General features: G+C 47.4%; 1 protein-coding gene across 3 annotated transcripts, besides 10 other annotated features; it reads left to right on the top strand.

The window, feature by feature from the left end:
* Positions 4,504-4,553: an enhancer, noted in NCBI's record as "active region_8620". NCBI's record gives its function as "activates an Ori minimal core promoter by ATAC-STARR-seq in GM12878 lymphoblastoid cells {active_cell/tissue: GM12878}" and the evidence as "EXISTENCE:reporter gene assay evidence [ECO:0000049][PMID:35858748]".
* Positions 15,405-15,464: an enhancer, noted in NCBI's record as "active region_8619". NCBI's record gives its function as "activates an Ori minimal core promoter by ATAC-STARR-seq in GM12878 lymphoblastoid cells {active_cell/tissue: GM12878}" and the evidence as "EXISTENCE:reporter gene assay evidence [ECO:0000049][PMID:35858748]".
* ZFP36L1 (ZFP36 ring finger protein like 1) lies at positions 15,456-24,044 on the top strand. Of its 3 annotated transcripts, none has more exons than NM_001244701.1 (3): positions 15,456-15,624; positions 18,629-18,817; positions 21,207-24,044. In NM_001244701.1, the coding sequence occupies exons 1-3, from the start codon at positions 15,550-15,552 to the stop codon at positions 22,164-22,166; spliced, it is 1,224 nt and encodes a 407-aa protein (NP_001231630.1). In that variant the 5' UTR covers positions 15,456-15,549; the 3' UTR covers positions 22,167-24,044. The 3 variants fall into 3 exon arrangements, with proteins under 3 accessions (NP_001231630.1, NP_001231627.1, NP_004917.2); NM_001244698.2 differs by lacking the exon at positions 15,456-15,624 and having other exon boundaries at positions 18,283-18,817; positions 21,207-22,172; positions 22,890-24,037; NM_004926.4 differs by lacking the exon at positions 15,456-15,624 and having other exon boundaries at positions 18,632-18,817; positions 21,207-24,037.
* Positions 15,585-15,904: a silencer, noted in NCBI's record as "silent region_5873". NCBI's record gives its function as "represses an Ori minimal core promoter by ATAC-STARR-seq in GM12878 lymphoblastoid cells {active_cell/tissue: GM12878}" and the evidence as "EXISTENCE:reporter gene assay evidence [ECO:0000049][PMID:35858748]".
* Positions 16,467-17,011: an enhancer, noted in NCBI's record as "NANOG-H3K27ac-H3K4me1 hESC enhancer chr14:69261405-69261949 (GRCh37/hg19 assembly coordinates)". NCBI's record gives its function as "activates a minimal SCP1, AML or CMV promoter by ChIP-STARR-seq in naive H9 embryonic stem cells {active_cell/tissue: H9 hESC(naive)}" and the evidence as "EXISTENCE:reporter gene assay evidence [ECO:0000049][PMID:30033119]".
* Positions 16,645-16,804: an enhancer, noted in NCBI's record as "active region_8618". NCBI's record gives its function as "activates an Ori minimal core promoter by ATAC-STARR-seq in GM12878 lymphoblastoid cells {active_cell/tissue: GM12878}" and the evidence as "EXISTENCE:reporter gene assay evidence [ECO:0000049][PMID:35858748]".
* Positions 18,185-18,384: a silencer, noted in NCBI's record as "silent region_5872". NCBI's record gives its function as "represses an Ori minimal core promoter by ATAC-STARR-seq in GM12878 lymphoblastoid cells {active_cell/tissue: GM12878}" and the evidence as "EXISTENCE:reporter gene assay evidence [ECO:0000049][PMID:35858748]".
* Positions 18,405-18,474: a silencer, noted in NCBI's record as "silent region_5871". NCBI's record gives its function as "represses an Ori minimal core promoter by ATAC-STARR-seq in GM12878 lymphoblastoid cells {active_cell/tissue: GM12878}" and the evidence as "EXISTENCE:reporter gene assay evidence [ECO:0000049][PMID:35858748]".
* Positions 21,099-21,714: an enhancer, noted in NCBI's record as "H3K27ac-H3K4me1 hESC enhancer chr14:69256702-69257317 (GRCh37/hg19 assembly coordinates)". NCBI's record gives its function as "activates a minimal SCP1, AML or CMV promoter by ChIP-STARR-seq in naive H9 embryonic stem cells {active_cell/tissue: H9 hESC(naive)}" and the evidence as "EXISTENCE:reporter gene assay evidence [ECO:0000049][PMID:30033119]".
* Positions 21,822-21,901: an enhancer, noted in NCBI's record as "active region_8617". NCBI's record gives its function as "activates an Ori minimal core promoter by ATAC-STARR-seq in GM12878 lymphoblastoid cells {active_cell/tissue: GM12878}" and the evidence as "EXISTENCE:reporter gene assay evidence [ECO:0000049][PMID:35858748]".
* Positions 21,912-21,971: an enhancer, noted in NCBI's record as "active region_8616". NCBI's record gives its function as "activates an Ori minimal core promoter by ATAC-STARR-seq in GM12878 lymphoblastoid cells {active_cell/tissue: GM12878}" and the evidence as "EXISTENCE:reporter gene assay evidence [ECO:0000049][PMID:35858748]".
* Positions 24,045-24,150: the final 106 nt, after the last annotated feature.

The following is a 24,150-nucleotide window of genomic DNA, read 5'->3' as shown; positions in this document are numbered from 1 at the left end:
AAAGAAAAAAAAAATCAGCCTCCAAATAAAAATTTCTCAGCATCTGGTCATCTCCTTACAATCCAGCTCACAAAAGGACAGACTTCTGAATCTGGGCAGAAACACCCAGTTATTAAGTCTCTGAGGTGATGATCACGCTGAAATCTCCCGCTGCAGCTCCCTATTCAGCCAGCGCCTTGCACATACTGGGTGCTAGGTCAATATGGGCTCCGTTTCACATAAGGATGAACACATGCAATGGTAAGGATGTAGCCAGGTTGAGCTAATTAGGGGAGACTGGAGCGCAGCCCCCTGCGTCCTCCCACCCACACAGCCGCCCTGGCTGCGAGTGCCTGTCCTTGGCTTTCCCGACCAGTGCTCCACCCGCCAGCTGCCTGGGCCTCCTCTGGGACCCTCTCCTCTCTCTTGCTTGGGATACTTGACTATGCTCCAGTGGCTCTATGGAATCCCACTTTGTGGGGCCTCCAGGGCTCTTCTTGGTCTTGCCAGTTGCTGCTTAACAACAAAAGTTGACTGGGTTCCTTTTTTTTGGAGGGGACCTCATACCCAAGAGTGTGCCAAATGCTTTGCTCATCTGTCCTCACAGCAACCCCAGGAGATGGGTATTGTTGTCATCGCCATTTCACAAAGGAGGAGACTGAGGGAGGCAGGTGAGTCCTCTGCTTGCCTAGGAGGGGGCAGTGCCAGACTTTGAATATGGTCAGCTTGAACATTGAGTTGGTGTGCTCCATGGCAACATACCGGTTCCCAGCTCTTAAGACTCCTTTAACAAACTGTTGGGCAACTCGGCCCAAGACCAGGCACTTACCCTTTTGAGGACAAATCTCGACAAGCTGCGATCTGCTGTCACCTTGCACTTTTCCTGAAATTTCCATGTCTTTCAAAACAGGTAGAGCATGACTTCTCAATATACACACACTTATTAGGAGATTCGTTCAGTTGAATAGAATAAATTTTAGGTATTTCAGCCTATAATTTCCTGGTTTGTCTTTTTTCATGGTTAAAGAATAGTTTGAGTCATAGATTATATGACTGTGACAGGTTGAAGGTTAGGAGGGATGGCAAGAAGCTGAGTGTGTAAGGCCACAACTTAGACATTCATCCTTCTGCACTTTTTGTCACCTCTCAGTTTTTGATAGAAAAAAAAAATGTTACTTTTGGAATATATAGAAGTATCAGGGTCAAGTATGTAAGAATTTTTGGAGGGAGATGGGCTGACATGAGTACCATTTTCCTTGTCCCAGCTGATCAGAGCTCAGGGTGTGGCTGAACTTGGGAGGAGCAGTATAAGGTGCTTGGTGAGCCGCCTGTCTATGGGGATCCTGCCTCACCCACTGAGGACAGCCTGGGAATTGCACAGCTGGCCACTAAACCCAACACCCATGTGTTACTTTCTTTGCTTCTGGATTTTGCCTGGGTTTGCTTCAGCTTTCTCCCAACTCCTGCTCCCTTAGGGAAACGAAGAGTGGGCAGAGGTTTGATTAAGTAAGGAAATTGGAAAAACCAAAGCAGTCATGGAGAAGGGAGGCACTGACAGAATTACAGAAGACAGAGAACAGTTAGAAGGCTGAAAGAAGCCAAGCCGACAAAGGACTAGCATCTTCCATAAGTTTTCATGGGGTTTATGGACACAAGGCATTGAGGCATTGAATTTCAAGAAGCTGTTTGCCAACCAGAACGATGGTTGTGGCTGTCTTTAGGCTCCCTTGGGAACACCTGGAAATTAATTTAAATCATTTTAGTTGTTAACAAAAGTTGCATTTGCTGGGATTTCTCTGGCTTTGCATAGAGGTGGGTATGCCAATCTGCCATGAACCTCTGTTTTTCTAGAAATGGTGTGTCTGTGAGTTAGATGAGCCCTTATCCACAGAAAGGTGGCTGGGCCGGACCTCTCTCTAGATGAAAAGCTGATCACACCGCTCTACTCATACCTGATGTTCTCCTGGCACAGGGCTCCTGCTCAAATTCTCCAGTGAGCCAGCCATAGGGTATCATGATGGCAGCCACCCTACTCTGGGGTGAGTTGGACTGGTTTTTGGCCTTGTCCCAGGAAGACTAGCCCTTTCTCTGCAACAGACTAACAGCGGGGGTGAGGTGGGAAAAGTTAGGAAACACAAAGGCGAGAAGGAAAGCTTGCTTTTCTAGGACTGTCCTTGTTCAGTGTTAGGAAGAGTCTGAAATCCACACATATACAAAAGCCCTAAGACTCACTTGTAGTCACCCAGAACATTACTGAGTGGATTTGGTTGGGATCAGGGCAGTTGTTTTAAATTCACTGCTGCCTCCTTTTCTCTCCTGGGTCTTTTAAAAAAAAATTTTTTGGGTGTTGTTTGCTTTGACATTCTTCTCCCTTTTCAGAATATTTATAACTGGCCCCCTCTTTATCCTTCTCAGCTCCTTTCCCCACCTCACTCTGCCTTCTTAGCATAATTTTTATTTTCTTTTGGCCTGCCTTGTTTTACATCTGGATTCCTGGATGATTTATTTTGTCTGTTTCTTGAATTCTGATCCTCTCCCATTTCTTAAGAGTTTTTTGGGATTTTTTTTTTTTCCCTTTCAGCTTCAGTTCTTTTCCCTAAAGCTTTCCTTGGGTCACACAGCTTTTATTCTTGTTCATCTGTTTAAGCAGAGCTGGCAAGGAGGAGGCCACAGCCGGCAGGCAGAGCCACGGCGGCAGAAGAGGTCTTGGGCGCCTGAAGATTCTCCTCCCAGCCCTGGTGTCCTTCTGGGGAGGGGGATGGGGACAGTGCTGCTCTCCCTGTTAGGGTTGATGTTGTCTGCCAGGCCTGGGCTGAGGGTTGGGGCAGATGGTGTCTCCTCCACAGTGTGTGGGCCTGGGACTTCATGGCTCGGGGAGGCAATGGAATCCACCCTTCGGGCTGTGGGTTGGAGGATTAACCAGGTTAGACCAGGAAAGGCTGGAGCTCCATGGAGTTGCACCCACTGGGAATGTATTCCTTACAAAACTCGGTGCTGTGTTTGAAGACTTTGCAGCATAGGGACTGCCTCCTGGGACCCGAGTCTGGGTTTCCTTCAATTCTGACTCAGTGGCTGAAGTTGACCTGGGCATCCAGAGGTGTCTGCTGGGGAGACAGAGGCAGTTTTCCAGTGGAAAGTCCTTTTTTCCCACTATCACAGCCCTTGGCCAGTGGTCATTTTGAGGGTGCAGGGGGAATGCTAGAAGAGGCTGGTAATTGTGGGGTGTATTAAAGACTCTTGGCCGCTGGGCAAACCCCACCTGTGGGAGGCTCTGAGGGTCAGCCCTGGTACTGATGAGGCAGGTGGCACTTCTTGATGGGCATAGTGGCAGAGAAATCCTAGAAATTGCAACCACACCCCTCCCTGTCTGGAGTGGTGGGGTGGGGTGGGAGCATCCTGGGCCCTGCTCCCCAGCTGTCCAAGGCAAATCGACTGGAGTCCATCTGGCTGTCCCCACCGGTCCAGGCATGCTTCCCATCCTGGGGCGTCAGTCCTCAGTGGGTGCGGCTGAGGGGCCGGTGGATCAGTGCTCTGCCTGGGCACACCCGGAGCTGAGCGGCATCCTGGGGTGAGGGGGCTCAAGAGCTCCAGGTAGACACCCACTGGACTGCCTTATCTTTTCTAGGCTCTGTGCTGATGGTGGCCACCTGCTTCTCTGGCAAGTGTGGTTGAGGGCTGTTTCCATAGGCACACCTTGCTCTCTTTCTGGGTCCCATCTGTCCTTCATCATCTTCATCAATGCACAGTGTTCCCTGTCACTTGAGGGAAGTGCTGTTGGTTATATAAAGGCTTGAGACAACTCTTTGCTTACATTTTGTATTTTGTTTATATTTTCTAAGCCTTTAGCTCTGGAGTCCAACTCTCGGGGTCCAGCATCCTTTAAGACCCGAAAAGCATAAACTTCAGGAGGCCAAAGGCCCTTACTCCTAGGCCCTGTGGACTTGGTTTATCTCTGATTCCAGGCAGTGCCTCCTGCTTTATATAGAGGGCTATAATCAACAGGAGGAATGACTAGGGGATGGGTGATGAATGTTCTTCCAAGTTGCTCCCCTTGACTGTGGCAGGAGAGCTGGGGGCAAAGACCCAGCCTCTTTGACATAGGAATTCAAGTGGGGATTAGGATCCCAGCAGCCTCCTGCTCCTTCCTGCCTGGGCCGCCTCACTCCTAGCTGGGCCCCAAGTGCAGCCTCCTTAAATCTGTCCGTGTCAGTGCCTCCTCATTCCTGCCACCTCGCTCTGCCTTCCCTCTTCCCACGCACCAGCACCACGTTGTATAAATATTTACACCCCCGGGGCTGGCAGGAATCTTTCTCCAGCTGCTTCCCTGGTCTCTGGGAGAGCTTGTTTCCTCACCCAGCAGCTGCAGCAGATCTGGTTGCCTTTGGTCAGACAAGAGCAGGCCCTGGTTTGGGGGCCCACAGTACCCCGGGGTGGAGGGTGCAGTTGGTGGGAGAAACTCAGCACTAAAGAAGTCACAGGGCTGTGGCAAAGACCCGTCCTCTCTCACTCCCCCGCCGGCTGTCCACATGGCAACCCTCCAAGAGCTGTCTGATCTCTGCTCTGGCTGGGGAGGTTCCTGTTTCTCAAAAGAACAGCTCTCAGGGTGGAGTTGGCCATACCAGGGCCTTGCTAGGGAGTAGTGGAGGATAATTCCAAAGCAAACTCACTGATGCTAGGACAAAATAGTACCTTGGTTTACCTGTGAACACTTTACAGCTTACTAGTAAGTGTGAATCCCTTGATTTGCCCTGAAGATGACCCCACAGTTTAGAGCAAGACCCCCCTGGATTATCTGCAAACCAGGCCTCTCCCCAGCATCTGCCCCAGGCCACCCTCCCTCCCACCAGTCCCTGCCAGTCTTCCCGCCTCAGGGGTAGAGAGAGGAGAGGACAGACGCTCCTTCTCCCACCTTCCTTGGTGACCCAGCCAAGGAAGAAAACTGGCACTTGGGTTCCCATGGGCTGGGCACTGTGCACGGTACTTCCCCATGTTCTCATGTAGTTATTCAAGTCTCGGGCACAGCAGATTTCTTAGCTTCCTCATGCATGTCTCCTCTTTCTGCCAGCAAACAGCAGCAGCCAGGCAGCAGCAAGCCCCCAGATACAGAGCCCAGGCTTTCTCTAGTCCTGAGTTCAGCCAGGAACCTCTGAGAGCCAGCCAAGGACTGGACATCAATACTGGACTTCAATCTCAGCCACTTGCAGTAGGTGCGGGTCACCTGCTGCCACCTCCTGCTCCTGTGCCTCAGTTTCCCCTTACATCTGTGGGAGGTCATTAACCTGTGCTTTGTAAAGTATTTCAAATTTAGCAAAAAACAAGTTTGAAAAAAGCAACATCATTTCTTTTTTTTTTTTTTTTTTTTTTTGATGGAGTCTTACTCTGTCGCCCAGGCTGGAGTGCAGTGGCGCTATCTCGGCTCACTGCAACCTCTGCCTCCCAAGTAGCTGGGATTACAGGTGCCTGCCACCACGACTGGCCAATTTTTTGTATTTTTAATAGAGATAGGGTTTCACCACTTTGACCAGACTGGTCTTGAACTCCTGACCTCATGAGTCACCTGCCTCAGCCTCCCAAAGTGCTGGGATTACAGGCGTGAGCCACCACGCCAGGCCAAAAAAGCAACATCATTTCAAATCCTTTTTCTAGTTATAGGGGTTTGGGTGGCAGAAGAGATTGTTCAGGTATCAGGGACTAAGGAGAATGTGTGTTCAGTGCTTTGGGGAAGCTGGGGAGGAGGTAAACACGGTTTAAAAGGCCTGAATTTTATATCCAACAACCCCTAAAATTCAAGTAGTAGAGCCATTGGAGGTATGTGTGTGTGGGATTGGGTAGGGGTTCTCATGGGGGCCAGGGACAAATACCCCAGTTTCCCTCCACTCACACTTGTGCCGGAAAGAAAGCAAGCAGATTCTCTCTCTCTCTCTCTCTCTCTCTCTCTCTCGATAACGTACATGGAGAAAGGTAGGAAACTGCAATTTGAAAGTCGTGCATTTGTGAGACACTCCTGCTGCCTGCCTGTCTCTCCAGCCCCGCAACGTAAAACAAAACCCAAATAAAAGCCTGAACCCGGCAGATATTAATGCTACAGAGCCAGGGTTGGTGTGCAGGCACCCACCCCCTTCTTCCCCCTTCTGTTTCTATAAGTGGCTGAAATAAATTTAGCGAAACAACCCCACCCATCTGAGGGCCTAAGATTTCAGAGCAATGGGATTCTCTATCCTGAAAACCCCTGTTTTTCAGAGCTGAAAGCTTTTTGTTTAAATTCCTTTTGGGAATGGAATGCTCTTGATCTGAAATAATTATTATACTGCGGTCATCTATTCCTCATAGATAAATGCTTTGACACAGGATAGCTTGCAGAAAAGCTGATCTACAAATGCTCTGCAGCTTAAGATTGTCAACTCTATGGGGCCAATGCCTAGTTGGATCTGTTGGGGTATTTATTGTAAGATTATTCTTCTAATGTCGTGCATATTCAGCCAAGTCCCTCTGTTGTCTGTCATACAGAACCCTGATTGTGGCTGGCTAAGTTAGCGAAGTAGAGAAGTACTAAATCTTCATTTTTTTTCCACGAATACTTATTGAGGGCCTACTCTCTGCTAGGCACTAAGCCAGGCACTGGGAGTTGAGCTGAGAGCAGAGAGAGCCTGCTTTGATGGAGCATACATCCTAGTGGGAAGGGAATGTTAAAAAGTTAAATGACTACAAAAAAACTGGCAACGAATGTTGTATTTTAAAATGAAAGACTGAATGCTTTCCCCCTAAAATCAGGAACAAGGTCAGGGCATCTACTCTTACCATGCCTATTCAACACTGTATTGCAAATCCTGGATAAAGCAATAAGGCAAGAAAATGAAATACAATGCATACGTTAGGAAAGGAAGAAATTAAATTATTCCTATGTATAGACAATATGTGCTTGTCTGCATTAAAAACAAAAACACACCTGGTACAGGGGCTCATGTCTGTAATCTCATCACTTTGGGATGCCCAAGCAGGAGGATTGCTTGAGGACAAAAGTTAGAGACCAGCCTGGGAAACATAGTGAGATCCTATCTCTACAAAAAATTAAACTAGCTGGAATGGTGGCATGTACCTATAGTTCCAGCTACTTAGGAGGCTGAGATGGGAGGACTGCTTGAGCTCAGGAATTTGAGGCTGCAGTGAACTATGATTGCACCACTGCACTCCAGCCTGGGTAACAAGGTGAGACTCTACCTCAAAACAAAAACAAAACAAAAATAAGTAAACAAAAACACCCCAAGTAATCTATCAAAAAAATCCTCTTACAACTAAAGTGATTTTGTGAGATCACAGGAGACAAGGTCAATACACAAAAATCAACTGAATTTCTATAAACTAATACACAAGTGGAGACCAAGATTTCAAAAGGCTGGGTGTGGTGGCTCACGCCTATAATCCCACACTTTGGGAGGCTGAGGCGGGCGGGTCAACAGAGGTTGGGAGTTCAAGACCAGCCTGACCAACATGGAGAAACCTCGTCTCTACTAAAAATACAAAATTAGCCAGGCATGGTGGTGCATGTGTGTAATCCCAGCTACTTGGGAGGCTGAGGCAGGAGAATTGCTTGAACCCAGTGGGGTGGAGGTTGCGGTGAGCTGCGATCACACCACTGCACTCCAGCCTGGGCAACAAGAGCAAAACTCCATCTCAAAAAAAAAAAAATTACAATAGTTCTAAAAACTAGGAAATATTAGGTATAAATCTAATGAAATATATATAGAATCCCTGTGCTAAAAACTATAAAACAGCTGGGCATGGTAGCACATGCCTGTGGTCCCAGCTACTTGGGAGGCTGAGGCAGAAGGATCACTTAAGCCCAGGAGTTTGAGGCTAGCCTGGACAGCATAGCAAGACCCCATTTCAAAAAAAGATTAAAACTATAAAACACTGATTAAAGAAATCAAATAAGTCCTAAATAGACATACCATGTGCATGAATTAGAAGACTCAACATAGTAATTCTCCCTGTAGTGATCTATAGATTTAATGCATTGCCAATAAAAATCTCAGTAGGGTTTTTTTTTCTAGATACAGACAAGCTGATTCTGAAGTTTATATGAAAAGGCAAAGGAACTAGAATAGCTAAAACAATTTCAAAAAATAAGAAAAAAGTTGGAGGAATTACACCATCTTAAGACTTAGTAAATACCTACAATAATTGATCATGTAGTATTGGTGAACGGGTGGACACAGATCAGTGTAACAAAATAAAGAGACCTTACAAATACGGCCATTACATTTTTGGAAAGGTGTAAAGGCAACTCAATGGTAAAATGACAGTCTTTTCAACAAACAAACAGTGTTGCAAGTGAAAATCCACAGGCAAAAAAAGAACCTCAATCTAAATTTTACATCTTATATAAAAACTAACTCTAAATGGATTACAGATCTGAAGTAACTACTTTTAGGGGAGGATTCTAGGAACATGGCAGAGTAGGAAGCACTAGGAATGTTTCCCCTCTTAGAAAACAATTGCACTGGCAGAATCTGTCTGATACAACTATTTTGGAACTCTGGAGTCTATTGAAGGCTTGCAAATTCCAGGGGGAGGCTTGAACAGTAATTTGTGTTTAATTTTGGTCAATATCAGCTCTTAGAGCAGTAGCAGCTACCCATCCCCCACCTCCAACCCTATGGCAGACAGCTGTGCATATGTTCCTGGAGTAGCTTGCACACAGCTTACAGGAGCTAGGGTGGGCCAAAAGACCCTGTCCTCCAAATATCAGGGATTTGTGCTCTGATTACTGCTTCTGATAACAGAGATGTAGACAATGATGCAGGTGGCCATTGTTGTTGCACCTTCTCCCATTGTTTTTATTTTTTATTTTATTTTTATTTTTATTTTTTTGAGATGGAGTCTTGCTCTGTCGCCCAGCCTGGAGTGCATTGGGGTGATCTTGGCTCACTGCAACCTCTGCCTCCTGGGTTCCAGCGATTCTCCTGCCTCAGCCTCCGGAATAGCTGGGATTACAGGCCCCTGCCACCACGCCCAGCTAATTTTTGTATTTTTAGTAGAGACGGGGTTTCACCATGTTAGCCAAGCTGGGCCCACCAGCCTCGGCCTCCCAAAGTGCTGGGATTATAGGCATAAACCACCACACCGGGCCAACACCTTTTCCCATTGTTGCAAGCTCCTCTTCTGCTGAACTAACTTATAGGGCATTTAAAGGGATGAAGGCCTCCTTTAAAAAAATCAACTCTTCATTTCTGTCTTTTTCCTCTTTTTGGAACCAGATATTAAAGACTAGGACATTCAAAATCAATTACATACACCGGGAAAATTTGAAAATGAATGCCCATGCATGATCAGAGAAAGGCACAGGCTCAGAATAGATCTCAGAAGACCTCACATTTATACCTCAGGCTGATCCTTGGCACAGAGACAGCCTACAACAATAATTAAAAAAAAATTTACCAAACCCAGCAAACCTTGGTGAAGGGGGAGAATCTGATTTCCAGAGTAACCACATTATTAGATTGAAATGTCCAGTTTTCAACAACAACAAAAATCACAAGACATACGAAGAAACAGGAAAGCATGGCACATCCAAAAAATAAATCAACAGAAACTGTTCCTGAAAAATAACTGATGGAAGATCTACTGATAAAGACTTTAAAACAACTGTCTTAAAGATGCTCAAAGAACTAAATAAAGATATGGAGATGGTCAAGAAAGAGATGTATGAATAAAATGGGAATAACAATAAAGAGATAGCAAGCCTAAAGTGAAAGTAAAAAGAAACTCTGGAGCTGAAAAGTACAATAACTAAAATGAAAAATTCACTTTAGGATTCAAAGACAGTTTTGAGGAAGCAGGAAAAATAATCAGCAAATTTGAAGATAGGACACTGGAAATAATCAAGTCTGAGGAACAGAAAGGAAAAAGATTGAGGAAAGTGAAGAGAGCCTAAAGGACCTGTGGAACACCATTATATGCATACTGGGAGTCCCAGAAGAATAAGAGAGAGAAAAGGGGAAAGAATATCTGAAACTATGGCTAAAAACTTCTGAAATGTGATGAAAGACATGAATATGAACATCCAAGAAGTTCAATGAACTCCAAGTAAAATAAAGAAACCCACACCAGGATACATTATAATCAAACTCTCAAAAGTCAGAGACAAAAAGAGAATCTTGAAGCAGCAAAAGAGAAGTGACTCACATAAAATAGATTCTTTTTTTTTTTTTTAATTAAAGACATAAGGTCTTCCTTTGTTGCCCAAGCTGATCTTGAACTCCAGGTCTCAAGCAATCCTCCTGCCTTGGCCTCCCAAAGTGCTCGGATTTCAGGTGTGAGCCAATGCATCCAGCTACAAGGGATCCTTAATGAGATTATCAGCAAATTTCTCATCAGAAATTTTGGAGACCAGAGGCAGTGGGCCAACATATTTAAAATGTTAAAAGAAAAAAAAAAATCAAACAAGAATCCTGTATCTGGAAAAACTGTCCTTCAAAAGTGATGGAGAAAATGACATTCCCAAATAAACAAAAGCTGAGGGAATTCATTACCACTAGACTTGTCCTATAAGAAATGCCCCAAGGGTGTCCTGCAAAGTAAAATAAAGAACAGTAGATAGTAACTTGAAACCATATGAAGAAATGAGGATCTCAATAAAGGCAATTATAAGAGCTAGTATTATTGAAACAACAGTTTGTAAGTTTACTTTGTGACATAATTTAAGAGACTACTTTAAAAAACAATGATTAGTCTAAAAGCTTAAATTATTATAACTTTGGATTGTAATGCCACATTTGTTTTCTACAGAATTTAAAAGACTAACACACTTAAAATAATTATTAGTTTATATTTTTGGGCACAAAATGTATAAAGACATAATTATGTGACATCAATAATCAAAAGGGATGCAGATGCAGCTGTAAAGGAGCAGAATTTTTGTATGTTTTTGAAGTTAAGCTGTTATAAATTCAAATTACAGTGTTTTAACTTTAGGATGTTAAATGTAATCCCCATGGTAACCACAAAGAAAATACAGTAGTCCCCCCTTATCTGTGGTTTCACTTTCTGTAGTTTCAGTTATCCACAATTGACCACAGTCTGGAAATATTAAATGGAAAATTTCAGAAATAAACAATTCTTAAGTTTTAAATTGCATGCCATTCTAAGTAATATGATGAAATCTCGTGCCATCCTGCTCCATCCTGCTTGGGACATGAATCATCTCTTTGTCCAGTGTACCCACACCATATCTGCTACCTGCCCATCAGTCACTTGGTAGCCATCTCGGTTATCTAATTGACTGCTGTGGTATCACAGCACCTGTGTTCAAGGAATCTTTATTTTACTTAATAATGGCCCCAAAATGCAAGAGTAGTGATGCTGGCAATTTGGAGAGAACAAAGCAGTAAACTGCTTCAAGTGAAAAGGTGAAAATTCTCAACAAGGAAGAAGAATCATATGCTTATATTGCTAGGATCTATAGTATGAATGAAACTTTTATCCATGAAATTCTGAAGGAAAAAAAATGTCATAGTACATGCAGGGTTCAGTACTATCCCTGGTTTCCAGCATCTACTGGGGGTCTTGAAACATATCCTGTGTGGATAAAGGAAGGACTACTGTAGTTGTAGTATAGAAAGAAAATGTACCAAAGAAAATGAGAAAGGAATTTAAATGTTTCACTATGGAAAATCAAGTAACACAAAATAAGATAGTAGTATAGAAAAATGAGGAACAATACAACTCTAAGGCATCTAGAAAACGAATAACAGAATGACAGAATTAAGTCCCTTCTCATCAGTAGTTACTTTAAATGTTAATTAAGTGCCCCAATCAAAAGACAGTGATTGGCAGAATGGATAAACAAAAAACCTGATCCAACTATATGTTGCCTACAAAAGACTGACTTTAGATCTAAAGACACAAACAGATTGAAAGTACAAGGACAGAAAAAGATATTTCATGCAAATAGTAACCAAAAGAGAGCAGGAATGGCTATACTAATATTAGACAAAATAGACTTTAAATCAAAAAAGGTTACAACTGGCCAGGCACGGTGGCTCATGCCTGTAATCCCAGCACTTTGGGAGGCTGAGGTGGGTGGATCACGAGGTCAGGAGATCGAGACCATCCTGGCCAACATGGTGAAACCCCGTCTCTACTAAAAATAGAACAATTAGCTGGGTGTGGTGGCGCATGCCTGTAATCCCAGCTACTGAGGAGGCTGAGGCCGGAGAATCGCTTTAACCCAGGAGGTGGGGGTTGCAGTGAGCAGAGACCGCGCCACTGCACTCCAGCCTGGTGCCAGAGCAAGACTCCGTCTCAAAAAAAAAAAAAAAAAAAAAAGGTTACAAGAGACAAGGACATTATATATTAATAAAATGCTCAATATAGCAAGAAGATAGAACAGTTATATACATTTATGCACCTAACAACAGACCATGAAAAATATAACACTTTCAGAAGGTAACAAAAAATCTTAATGACCTGGGGTTAGGCAAAGATTTCTGAGCTGTGACACCAAAAGCATGACCCACAAAAGGTAAAACTGATAAATTAGACTTCATTAAAATGAAAAACTTTTGCTGTGTGAAAGATCCTTTGCTTGGAGAGTTAAAAGATAAGGTACAGACATGAGAAGATATTTGCACGTCACATAAGCAACAAAGGAACTTTATATATCCAGAATATGTAAAGAACTCTCAAAACTCAACAGTAAGAAAATGACCAACTAAATGACCCAACTAAAAAATAGGCAAAAGGTTTGAATAGACACTTCACCAAAAAGTATATGCAGATGGAAAATAAGCATATGAAAAGATGTTCAACATCATTAGCCATTAGAGGAATGCAAACTAAAACCACAGTGTGAGACTACCACATACCTATTAGAATGACTAAAACAAAAAAACAGTAATACTGTTAAGTGCTGGTGAGGATGTGGAGCTAGTGGAAACTCTCATATGTTGTTGTTGGAAATGCAAAATAGTATAGCCACTCTGGAAAATGATTTGGCAGTTTTGTATTAATTTCAACATGCAGTTACCATATCACCCAGAAATCTCACTCCTAGTTATTTACCCTAGAGAAATGAGAATTTGGCCAGGTGCAGTGGCTCACGCCTGTAATCCCAGCACTTTGGGAGGCCGAGGTGGGCGGATCCCGAGGTCAGGAGATCGAGACCATCCTGGCTAACACGATGAAACCCCATCTCTACTAAAAATACAAAAACAAAATTAGCTGGGCGTGGTGGTGGGCACCTGTAGTCCCAGCTACTCGGGAGGTTGAGGCAGGAGAATGGCGTGAACCTGGGAGGCGGAGCTTGCAAGTGAGCCAAGATTGTGCCACTGCATTCCAGCCTGGGCGACAGAGCGAGACTCGAAAAAAAAAAAAAAAGAGAAATAAGAACTTGTGTTCACACAAAAACCTGTACATGAGTGTTTATTGAAACTTTATTCATAATGGCCCAAAGCTAGAAATAATCCAATGCCCTTCAACAGGAAAATGGATAAACTATTGTATAAGCACACAGTGAAATACTATTTATCAATAAAAAGGAATGAACTATTGATACATGCAACAACATGGTTAAATATCAAAGGCATATACTGCGTGAAATCAAACATACAATATGATTCCATTTGTATGACATTCTGGGAAAGACAAAATTGCAATGATAGAGAACAGATCAGTGGATGTCAGGGACTAGAGATGGAGAAAGTATGAATGCAAAGGGATAGTATGAGGGAGTTTTTGAGGGGTAATGGAACTGTTCTGTTACCTGATTATGGTGGTGGTTACATGAATCAATTCATAAGTTAAAATTCATAGAACTGTATGCCAAATAAAGATCAATTTTACTGTATGTTAAATTGAAAGTAAAAAAAAAAAGTTACAGGAATGAATGTATACTCACAAACTGAAATAACTACTTTGAAGGAAATGAACATTCCATGAGAGCCTAAGAGAGAGGAGGGACACTGTTTTGTGACAAAGGAAAGCATCAAGAATGTTTTCCCTGAGGAAGTGAGGCTTGAGTTGGGTTCTAAAAAATGATTTAGAATTTACTTGGGCTAAAGGAAGGTTGATTCACACAGAAGCATTTGCATGTGCAAAGGCCCCGGAGTAGGAGGAAGATGGCTCATTCTCATCTAAAAAGGACTAGAGCACACGGAGTGCCCTGGAGGGTGGGAGAAGTGCATGGGGAGTGAGAAAAACCCAAGCTGGAATAAGAGAGTCAGATTACGCCAGACTGCTCTAGGTGGGGCCTAGGTTAGGGTGGGTGGAGAGGTGTAGCTGTGGGCTGGCCTGATAACTTCACTGACAGTTGGAACATCTTGCAGAGACCCGGGCAATCAGACCCCCCAGGGCAATGCTGGACCTGGGATTGGATTCTCAGTAGTCCTAGCAGGAGGCGGCCTGCTCCCAAACCCAAAGATTCCAGACACCCTGCAGTGCCGCATTTACCGTAGACCCTAAAGTGCCCTCTCCTGAGGCCTCTGCCTTGTTCAGGAGAATATTGACAGCTCAGTAATACACACTAAGCTTTCTGAGGGGCTTGAGGGCTTTGAGAGATAAGATAGTCTGGCTTGTACAGACTACCACAGGGCCCCAGTGATGTAGTTGTTTTCAAAAATACTTGTGTCAATAATCAGGTATTTTTCAGATGGGCAACAGATCCCCATCACCCTACCCTGAACCACTTTACTCTCCCCCAGGCTCCAAGCCCAGGGCCTCTCCCCATTTCCAGGCCTCAGGGCCTGTCTTATCCAGGGCTGGGGGTGGAGGCTAGAGAGTGACACAGATCAAACTTATAAGTTGTCAGTTGACCATTTAATGGAAGTCTACACTGAATAATCCTTTGCCAAGTGAATAGCCCCGGAATTTGTTTTGTGGTGTAATAAGGGTTGCCAAATGGCTTAGTTTACATACAACAGCATGACATATAGACGGTTGCAGCGAGACATGACTCTAGGCACTTTATGGGCCAAATGTAGGCAGTTATCATGATTCCTATTTCAGAGATGAAGAAATTGAGGCCTTGGTCAGTGACTTGAAAAGTCACATAGCTAGAAAATGGCCAAGATTTGGATCCAGGATTGCCTAACTTCAATATACTGGCTCACTGATTCTCAAACATTAGTATTTGGGTCGTGAGATGGAAATTTACCAAAAATGCAGATTCCCCGGCCCCATCTGGGCCAGGGAATCAGCATTCCAAACTTTAAACAAGGGGACTCCAGGTGTCTCTCTCTCTTTCAACCTGAAGAATTTGGGGGATTTTGCAAATGACCTGAAGCCTGAGAGGAAGTGCAACACTGCAGGGCTCTCAGGAGGGGGTACCCTGCTGACGCCTGTGACTAGGCCTAACCTTCTGGGGTCCTGCGGCCCAGTGCTGCACACTGTCATCTGCCTTGAGGTGCGCCTGGGGTCCAGATTGGCCGATGAATACGTACACCCGCAGCGCCTCCTTCACTCCGAAGACTTTCACTTTCCCCCTTGCACAAAACCGAACATCCCACCCCACCACCACCTCCAAGCTAAAATACCTGGGCCGCCCCTCCCCACGAAGGGACGCGCTCCAGGCGAATGGGGAGGGCCCGGAAGTCGGGCCTGGGACAGAGGAGCCGGCCCACCGCCTCCCGGTCGGAAGCGGCAGTGCAGGTGAGGCGGCGGCCAGCCTGGGGACTGCGCGGGTAAGGAGCGGGAGGGCGGAATGCACCGCGAAGTTGGCGGGGGACGGCCACGCACGCCTCGCCTCGGCCTTCCTGCACCGTAGGGCCGCCCTCCCGCCACCCCTGGGCACCTGTCGACCACGTCTGGGCGAGGGCGGGTCGGCTCCCGCCCTCGGGCCCTCACCGCGGCGGGGACGCCGGGTCAGCGAAGGGTTAAGGGACTCGCTCCCTCCTCTCGGCTCCCTCACCCTTGGAAAGTCCCCGAAATGACGTTTCAACCCGACAATTTAAAAAAGAGTTTAATTATAGAGACAGGCTCTGGGAGCTGGAACAAACCCTTGGTCGGCGGGGCCGGTAAACAACTCGGGAGCGAGCGGGCTAGGCCAGTCGCAGCCTTGCGGAGCCCGCGCCCCCGGGGAGAGGGGGAGGGGAGGGCCTCCGGGAGTTGGAAAAGCCGAGGAAATTCGAGGAATCAGCTTTCTTTGGAAAAATCCACTTTGTAGCCATTCTGGGGCGCCTGATGGTGCTCCTGGCCGGTCCCGCAGCCTTGGAGGGAAAGCGGCGCCGCCCGAAGCAGGGGCATAGCCGGTGCCCCGCGGGGACAGGCCCTGGGCCGGGAAGGGGGCCCCGCCCGCTCCCAGTCCCCTTCCCCTTTGCTTTTTTCCAGCCCCTCCTCCGGTCCCCCCAGCTGAGCTTCGCGAACCCTCGGGAGTTAAAGACCAGCCGGCCTCTTTTTTGGGGGGGGTGGGGGGTGGGGGAGCGGGAATGGGTGGAGGCCGGGGGAATAAAAAACCGAAATAGCTTCACATCAGAACTCAGACTAACCTTGTGGTTTCAACGCGCACTCTGCTCTGTCCTGAAATCTGGAACTCATTACCTCATCACCAAGAAACTGCACGAAATCTCTCCCCCACCGCCCCAACACCCACTTGGGAAAGGAACGAGCAAACATCCCTCTAAGAAAGAAACCTACACTTGAATGATTTAAATTAAGGTGGATGGAAGTTATTTCCCTTTCTGGCGCTTGCCAGATTTCAAGAAAAGCTGAAAAATGGGAGCGGGGGAGGGAAGCAACAGACGGCTGGAGGGCAGCAGCAGAACAAGCGAGGGGCAGCAGCCGAGTTAAAGTGGGGGCCATCCATTTCGGGCAGAGGAGACAAATGAAAGCCGACCCCGCTGGGATCACGTAGGTTCGTGGCTGCAGCAAAAGTTGGGTTTCACAAAGTTGAAAAACAGCCGGTTTCTCAAACAATTGTGATTTGGAAGGTTTCGCTGGGTTTGCCCAGATGTTTACGAATAAATAAGAAATGCAGTTTTAAAAAAAAGTGTGTGTTGGGGGTGGTGAGAATGCGCTCTCTTCGGCCCGCCCCGTCCTTTCCAAAGAAACGTGCTCATAATGGGGTGACCTAATTACATCGCAATGGAACTCAATCTTAGCCACTCCGCAGCACCGGGTTTCATAACAGACTCGGCGGCCTCGAGTGCTGGGAAGAAACGTGCGAGGGCCGAGGGGGGCGGCGGAGCCCGCGTGGAAATCGGAAAGAAGCGCAGCCCTGCGACTTCCGCCTGGGTCATCACGCCAGCAGTCGGGCCAAGGCGCAGGGGGCGGGTGGGGGACTCGTTAACTTTTTATTTGGGTGGGCGGCATCCAAACCTAACAGTATATATTTTATCATTTTCAAGGGAGTCATGCTCCATTGCGGGCCCTTCGGTTTCGTGGCTCCCATGTCCCCCTCTCCACCTCCCGCCAAAACGGCGCAGCGTGACAAGCCATATGTTCCACTCCGGTGGGGGCGAGAGAGAAGCAACAATAAGTTAAAAGTGCCGCCTCCCTCCACCTCTTTACCTTCATTCTTACCAAAGTAACCTTTTTTCATTGTTCTAGAGTCTTGAGGTGTGTGTGGGGAGGATGGAGGAGGAGGGAGGGTTGTGGCGCCGCCCAGAATTCGGAGCGCGCGTGGAAAGTAGTGAGTTGCTCGGTGGGCTTTTTCTGGGAGGAAGGGGCATTCAGGAAGGATTAGGGTTTTCTTGACTAAAAAGTTTAAAGATTGGATGCGTGAAAAGAAACGGCACGCCTAGGCCTGGTAAAACAAACAATCGTCCCGGGTTGTGGTCTTTTTTTGCGGCGCCCCCCACCCGCCCACACCCGGAGAGCGCCGGCTGCAAAGCGAGCGCGAGTGTCGACGCGTGCGGCGCACTAAATTGTGCCGCGCTCGCCCCCGCCAGACCATGTCCTCCTGGGGAAAAAGTTTCCCTAGTCCCCCCAGCAGCGCGCCCCACCCTACGCCCCGCTGGAAAAAAAACAGCAACATAAAATCCTAGGCTTGAACATTCTGTGCGTCCCAAATTTCTAATGTCCTCGGCCTGCCCGGTTTGCCGAAGGGAGCCGAGTGTCGAAGAGAAGTCGGGAAAAGGTAAGTTGTGCAGACACTTGGGGAAGTTTCAAGGAGACCGCCAGCTCAAGATGGAAACCGCGGCCCGGGCGCTAAGGACGGGCTTCAGCTCCCGCTGGCAAAAAGAGAAAGTCGAGCCCGCCTTCCTGCCCAACAAAAAACAACAACATGACAACAAGAACCCCGGAGGGAGTGGAATGAGTGACGTCACAGCCGCGCTCTGAGGCTGACAAAGGAGGGGGCGCGCCCCTCCCGCTCTGCGCCCGCGCGGCCCCGGAGAGGGGGCGCCTGAAGCGCCGGGTAGGGAAGTCAGCCGACTTGAAACTTTTCCTCTTAAAGAAAAAAAAAAAAAAGTTGTGCGCGGCTCACAGTGGGGTTTTTTTTTTCCGCCTTCTTTTCTCGTCTCCCCTCCCCCTTCTTCCTTTTGAAAGTTTCTTCTCCTCCCCCTGCCCCCCCTCCCCGCCTGACCGCATGGCTGATTCAACTCCAGTGTCAATCAACTTCTTTTTCCTCCTCTTCCTCATTTAAATAAGTTTAAAGCTCCTCCTCCCCCCGGCCCACCAAATCTGAACTTTATAAATTGGGCTTTGCGCGCCCCAGCCCGGAGTCAGAAAGGCGAGGGGCGCCGGGAACTGGCGTGTGGGACTCCAGACAGGAGAGGCTGCGCCTTCCCCGCACCGGGACCTTCGCGACACACCAGATCCTCGCCCCTGGCTCGCGCGAACGCACAGGATGACCACCACCCTCGTGTCTGCCACCATCTTCGACTTGAGCGAAGTTTTATGCAAGGTAAAGGGGGGCGGAGCATTTGCTTTTCAAAAAGTCTTTTTCTTTTGCCTTAAGAAAGAACCCCCAAAAGTTTGGGTCTTGGAAGGCAATGGGGAAAGTGGTGCAGCGAGATGATTCTTTTCTCCTCCGGCATTTCTCCCAAGTTTGAAGGAATTTGGCCCCGTCCTTCCCACCCTTTGAGTTTCAACAGTTGCTGGCGGGGATTACATGTGAATCTGGAGGCCAGGGTTTTGAGGGGCGAAGTTTGCCTGGCAGGGCAGCCCGGGGGCTTCGGGGGGAGGGCTGGGATTGGGACAAGTTTTGGGCGATCCTGTTTTACGTAACGTGCTGCTGGATCCCAGGTTTGCTGGTCTGATCGGGTTCCCAGTCTGCGCCCTAGGTCTGTCCAGCGGCATTACCCACCCGTGGGGTTGGGAGTGGGAGGTCCCTCGGGGAAGTGAGTCTCGGGACAATGTTTTCCTCCACTCTTTGGGGGGAGCTGGGGATATGCGAGGAAGAAAGGCCAAGTTGTGATTCAAAAAGATGTTGCAGAACAAGTTTGCAGTGGGGCTTGAGTCCGCCCTAGCTCCGTTGGGCTTCTTCCCGCGATAGCCGATCGTGCAGCAAACTTTGGGGTGAAAGAGGCATTCAGGTTGACCCGCTTACCTGTGTTGCCGAGGCATTGCGGCTCATCGATTGCGGGCGGGGTTGGGGGGGGAGGTGGCGACAAAATGCTGGCTTGAACTCGAGAGTCCCGCGAGTAAGGATTTAATGGGGGGCTCCTTAAAACATGTTGCTTGTCAGCCAGTGTTGAAAAAGCAAGTTTTAAACTCGGAATGTTCCAGGACTGCGGTTTAAATGTACATAGCAAAAGTCTATGGATGTTGTTAAATTTCTTTCCAACCTCCCCCTCCCAATTTGAAAGGGTGAAGCTGCTGGGCTACTTTTTAATTGCTGAAGTGTTTTGCCTTCTCTTAACACGTCGGGTCATGTTGCTCTGTTTTCCCAGCTTGCTGCTCCTGTTGGTGCAGCTGCCAACGCCCCAGGGCTGCAGGGTTGGGGTGCAGGGACGCCGAGGAGCTGAAGAGTAGCATTTAAAAAGTTTGAATTTTTCAGCTTCCTTCCCTCCCTGCACATTCCCAAACTCCACTTGCCAGCCCGGCTGCCAGCGCTCCCCAACATTTCTTCCTTCTTTTCTCGACTCTCCCGCTCTTTGATCTATTTCTTTCTTTGGCCCCCCTCCCCCCTCACGACTTTTTAAATGAACCTCATTGTTGGGAACCAGCTCTCGACTGGGTTCCTGTAATCCTCTCGGTGGGGTGGTTGCAGTTACAGATTCCCGGTCCCCCCCTGCTGATCCTAAGGGACCAACATTAGAATTTGCACAATGACACCCACATGGGCTGGGAACTAACTCCTAGGTCCCTGACCTGCACCATTTCCAAATCTTGGGTACAATTTGGGCAGGTGACCAGGGTCCTATTGGAACAGAAACCTGCCATTGGTGGCTCTGCCCCCATCCCCACCACCCCCAATCCGCTATTGACTAGGAGGTGGGTAGGGGGGTTGGTGCTTTCCTTTTCCTTTCCATCTGCAGCTTTGCGTTAAAGATTAAACACTGGAGCTCTTATCCAAGCTTGCTCTTGCAGCCAAAAGACTAATTGCAAAGGCATCTTCTCAGTGAAGGGGGCGGGGTGGGCTAGGGCTGAGTGGAAATGGTGAGAGAGATTATTGTAGAAAATATCTCTTCCGGGAACTTAGGGCAAAGAGTTTTATTTTCAGGAATCACATCCCTGTCTCCCCCAACCTCAGACCAGGCCCCCAATCTCCTCCCCACAAGAAAAAGCAAAGGCAGTCTGAAAACCTGTTGCCAAAGGAAGGGAACACTTCTGAAGGAGGAAGTTGAGAGTCTTAGGCCAGGTCTTGAAGGAGGGGGTATCAATTAAGCAGAGACTGATTGGAAGGGGACCTAACGTAGCCTATGATAGACTCCTTTCTGAGGTTTACCTGTTTTTGTCGCGGGCGGTGGCGGGGGCGGGGTGCGGTAATCTAGAGAGGTCTGGGTTGTGTGAGATATTTTGAGTTGAAGAATCTATTTGACTAGTAAAAAAGTTGAACTTTAAAGTGGTAGCTTTGGGGACAGAGGACATGGGGGTTGCATTGCAGGAGTCAGCATGGAGCAGGGTGCTTGTCACACAGTTTGGATCTTGTGGTTTCTTACGCATGGGGCCAAAATAAACCCAGGTGAATGGCCTATGGGAGGGAGAGAGGGAAGGGAGCTTGCTAGAGCCGAGGTAGAGATGAGTTCTTTGAGAAAGAGCGGGCGTTTGTGATTGTGTAGGGGGCTGCCCATAGTGGACATCCTGGTGGATGTCCTCTGTCCTTACCATCCTTTCTCTTCTCTCTCCAGGGTAACAAGATGCTCAACTATAGTGCTCCCAGTGCAGGGGGTTGCCTGCTGGACAGAAAGGCAGTGGGCACCCCTGCTGGTGGGGGCTTCCCTCGGAGGCACTCAGTCACCCTGCCCAGCTCCAAGTTCCACCAGAACCAGCTCCTCAGCAGCCTCAAGGGTGAGCCAGCCCCCGCTCTGAGCTCGCGAGACAGCCGCTTCCGAGACCGCTCCTTCTCGGAAGGGGGCGAGCGGCTGCTGCCCACCCAGAAGCAGCCCGGGGGCGGCCAGGTCAACTCCAGCCGCTACAAGACGGAGCTGTGCCGCCCCTTTGAGGAAAACGGTGCCTGTAAGTACGGGGACAAGTGCCAGTTCGCACACGGCATCCACGAGCTCCGCAGCCTGACCCGCCACCCCAAGTACAAGACGGAGCTGTGCCGCACCTTCCACACCATCGGCTTTTGCCCCTACGGGCCCCGCTGCCACTTCATCCACAACGCTGAAGAGCGCCGTGCCCTGGCCGGGGCCCGGGACCTCTCCGCTGACCGTCCCCGCCTCCAGCATAGCTTTAGCTTTGCTGGGTTTCCCAGTGCCGCTGCCACCGCCGCTGCCACCGGGCTGCTGGACAGCCCCACGTCCATCACCCCACCCCCTATTCTGAGCGCCGATGACCTCCTGGGCTCACCTACCCTGCCCGATGGCACCAATAACCCTTTTGCCTTCTCCAGCCAGGAGCTGGCAAGCCTCTTTGCCCCTAGCATGGGGCTGCCCGGGGGTGGCTCCCCGACCACCTTCCTCTTCCGGCCCATGTCCGAGTCCCCTCACATGTTTGACTCTCCCCCCAGCCCTCAGGATTCTCTCTCGGACCAGGAGGGCTACCTGAGCAGCTCCAGCAGCAGCCACAGTGGCTCAGACTCCCCGACCTTGGACAACTCAAGACGCCTGCCCATCTTCAGCAGACTTTCCATCTCAGATGACTAAGCCAGGGTAGGGAGGGACCTCCTGCCTACTCCAGCCCCTACCCTGCACCCACATCCCATACCCTCTTCTCCCTACCCATCCCATTCCCCACAGGCCCTACATTAACAAGGTTAAGCTCAACCCCTTTCCCCCAGCACCTCAGAATGTGCCCTCCCTCTCCCCCTCATAACCCCACCTAACATAAGGACAAGTCAATTTGTCAGTAGCTTCTTCTGGCTTGAAACCCCCTCCCTGGATTTTATAGCCCACTTACCATGCATAACAGACAAGTCCCATATTTTGTCAGTAGATGCCTTTTTTTTTCCGGCTTAAGCCTTAAGTGCCAAATCACAAGAGAAAAAGCAGTAACAGTTTACAGAAGCAACTTAGTGCCTTGTAATCTAACTTTGTCACTGTGACTACATTACCTCTTCAGCGCCAGAGGGCACCCGTGGGCCTCCCGGAGCCTCTGCCCATGGCGGGGTGGAGACCCGGAACCAGCAGCCCCCTCCACTGGCGACACAACTGCACCTTCCCTCATTTCAGTCTCCCGCACACTTATTCCTCCTCCCCTCTTCCCGGTGGCACCTCTCCACCTGTACCCGCCCCCCCACCCCCCCCACCCCTGCCCCTTGGAAGAGTTGTTGCCAGACCAGGGTTTTGGGGGAAACCTGTCTTGACATTCAAAACCTTTTTCTTCCCGATCTGAACCCCTGTTGACTAATCTTGCCTGGGTTTGTGTAGGTCTGCAGGAAGGAAGGCTGAAAAAGCGGACGAAGATTTTGACTTAAGTGGGACTTTGTGATTTAATTTTTTCTTTTTTTTAAGTGGGGAGGAAGGGGAAGCTAGATGGACTAGGAGAGACTTGATTTTGGTGCTAAAGTTCCCCAGTTCATATGTGACATCTTTTTAAAAAAAATAACAACAAAAAAAAAATGAGAGAAAAGCTAAAAAAAAAAAAGTAAGGGGTGAGCAGTTAATGGTATTCATTCCACATACAATATCTGTGTAAAACGATTTCCTGTAGAAGTAGCTTTAATGGTTTTTGCTCTAGAATACCGTAGGTCTATCCTTAGAGCACTCACGCCATGCTTTCTTCCCTGGGTTTTAAACTTCATATAACTTTCAGAAATTGGAGAGCAAAAATTTTGCTTGTCACTGCACATCAATATAAAAAAGCTTATTTAACTTATCAAAACGTATTTATTGCCAAACTATGCTTTTTTTTGTTAATTTTGTTCATATTTATCGGGATGACAAATCCATAGAATATATTCTTTTATGTTAAATTATGATCTTCATATTAATCTTAAAATTTTGTGACGTGTCTTTTTCCTTTTTTTCCACAGTTTTAATATATTATTCTTCAACGACATTTTTTGTAACTTTACACTTTTTTGGTTATTTTATTTTAAAAAAATGAAAAATTAATTTAAAAAAATGCAAAAAACTGTTGGATTATTTATTTTAGAAATTCCCCCCTTTGTGTTGGACTGCAAATTGAGTTTCTTTCTCTTTAGGCCTTTCACAACTAGGACTGAGAATGTATGTAAAAGTTCTGTGACAGTACAGAAGGAAAACAACTTTTTATGTATAGCTTCTAAAAGGGGAAAAAAAAAAAAAGAGAAACCCTTTGACTTCCACGTGCCCATCTCAAGACATTCCACTCACAGATTTGAGGTTCTGGATTCCAGGTCTGGAGTTTTCCAATGTTAATGTAAACAGAACTGGCACACACACATTAAGATGAATGTAATTATTATTCCTCTTGCTGGTCACTACCGTCGCTTTCTATTTCTCTTTCTTTGTGTGAATTTATTTAAAAGAAAAAAAAACTTTTTGTAACGACTATTTGCAGTTTAAAAATCAATAAACCCCGTTTTTTCAAGAAACATTGATGGTGGAGCTGGTTTTACTTGGTTTTGGTTTGACTTTGCCAGTAAGGTTCTCCCCTTGTATACCTTGCAAGTCCTGGGTAGGGGGAGGCGGAGAGAGAGGGCTGTGG

Source organism: Homo sapiens, chromosome 14 (genome assembly GCF_000001405.40).
Source record: "Homo sapiens chromosome 14, GRCh38.p14 Primary Assembly".
Lineage (NCBI taxonomy): Eukaryota > Metazoa > Chordata > Mammalia > Primates > Hominidae > Homo > Homo sapiens.
The sequence above is the reverse complement of the archived record's forward strand: the minus strand, read 5'-3'. Positions and strand labels throughout refer to the sequence as shown.

Coding starts and splice junctions, on each gene's coding strand:
- ZFP36L1 (NM_001244701.1), top strand. CDS start 15,550: ATGGGGAGGGCCCGGAAGTCGGGCCTGGGACAGAGGAGCCGGCCCACC. Junction 15,625..18,628: donor GGTCGGAAGCGGCAGTGCAG/GTGAGGCGGCGG, acceptor TGCGCGCCCCAG/CCCGGAGTCAGAAAGGCGAG. Junction 18,818..21,206: donor TGAGCGAAGTTTTATGCAAG/GTAAAGGGGGGC, acceptor TTCTCTCTCCAG/GGTAACAAGATGCTCAACTA.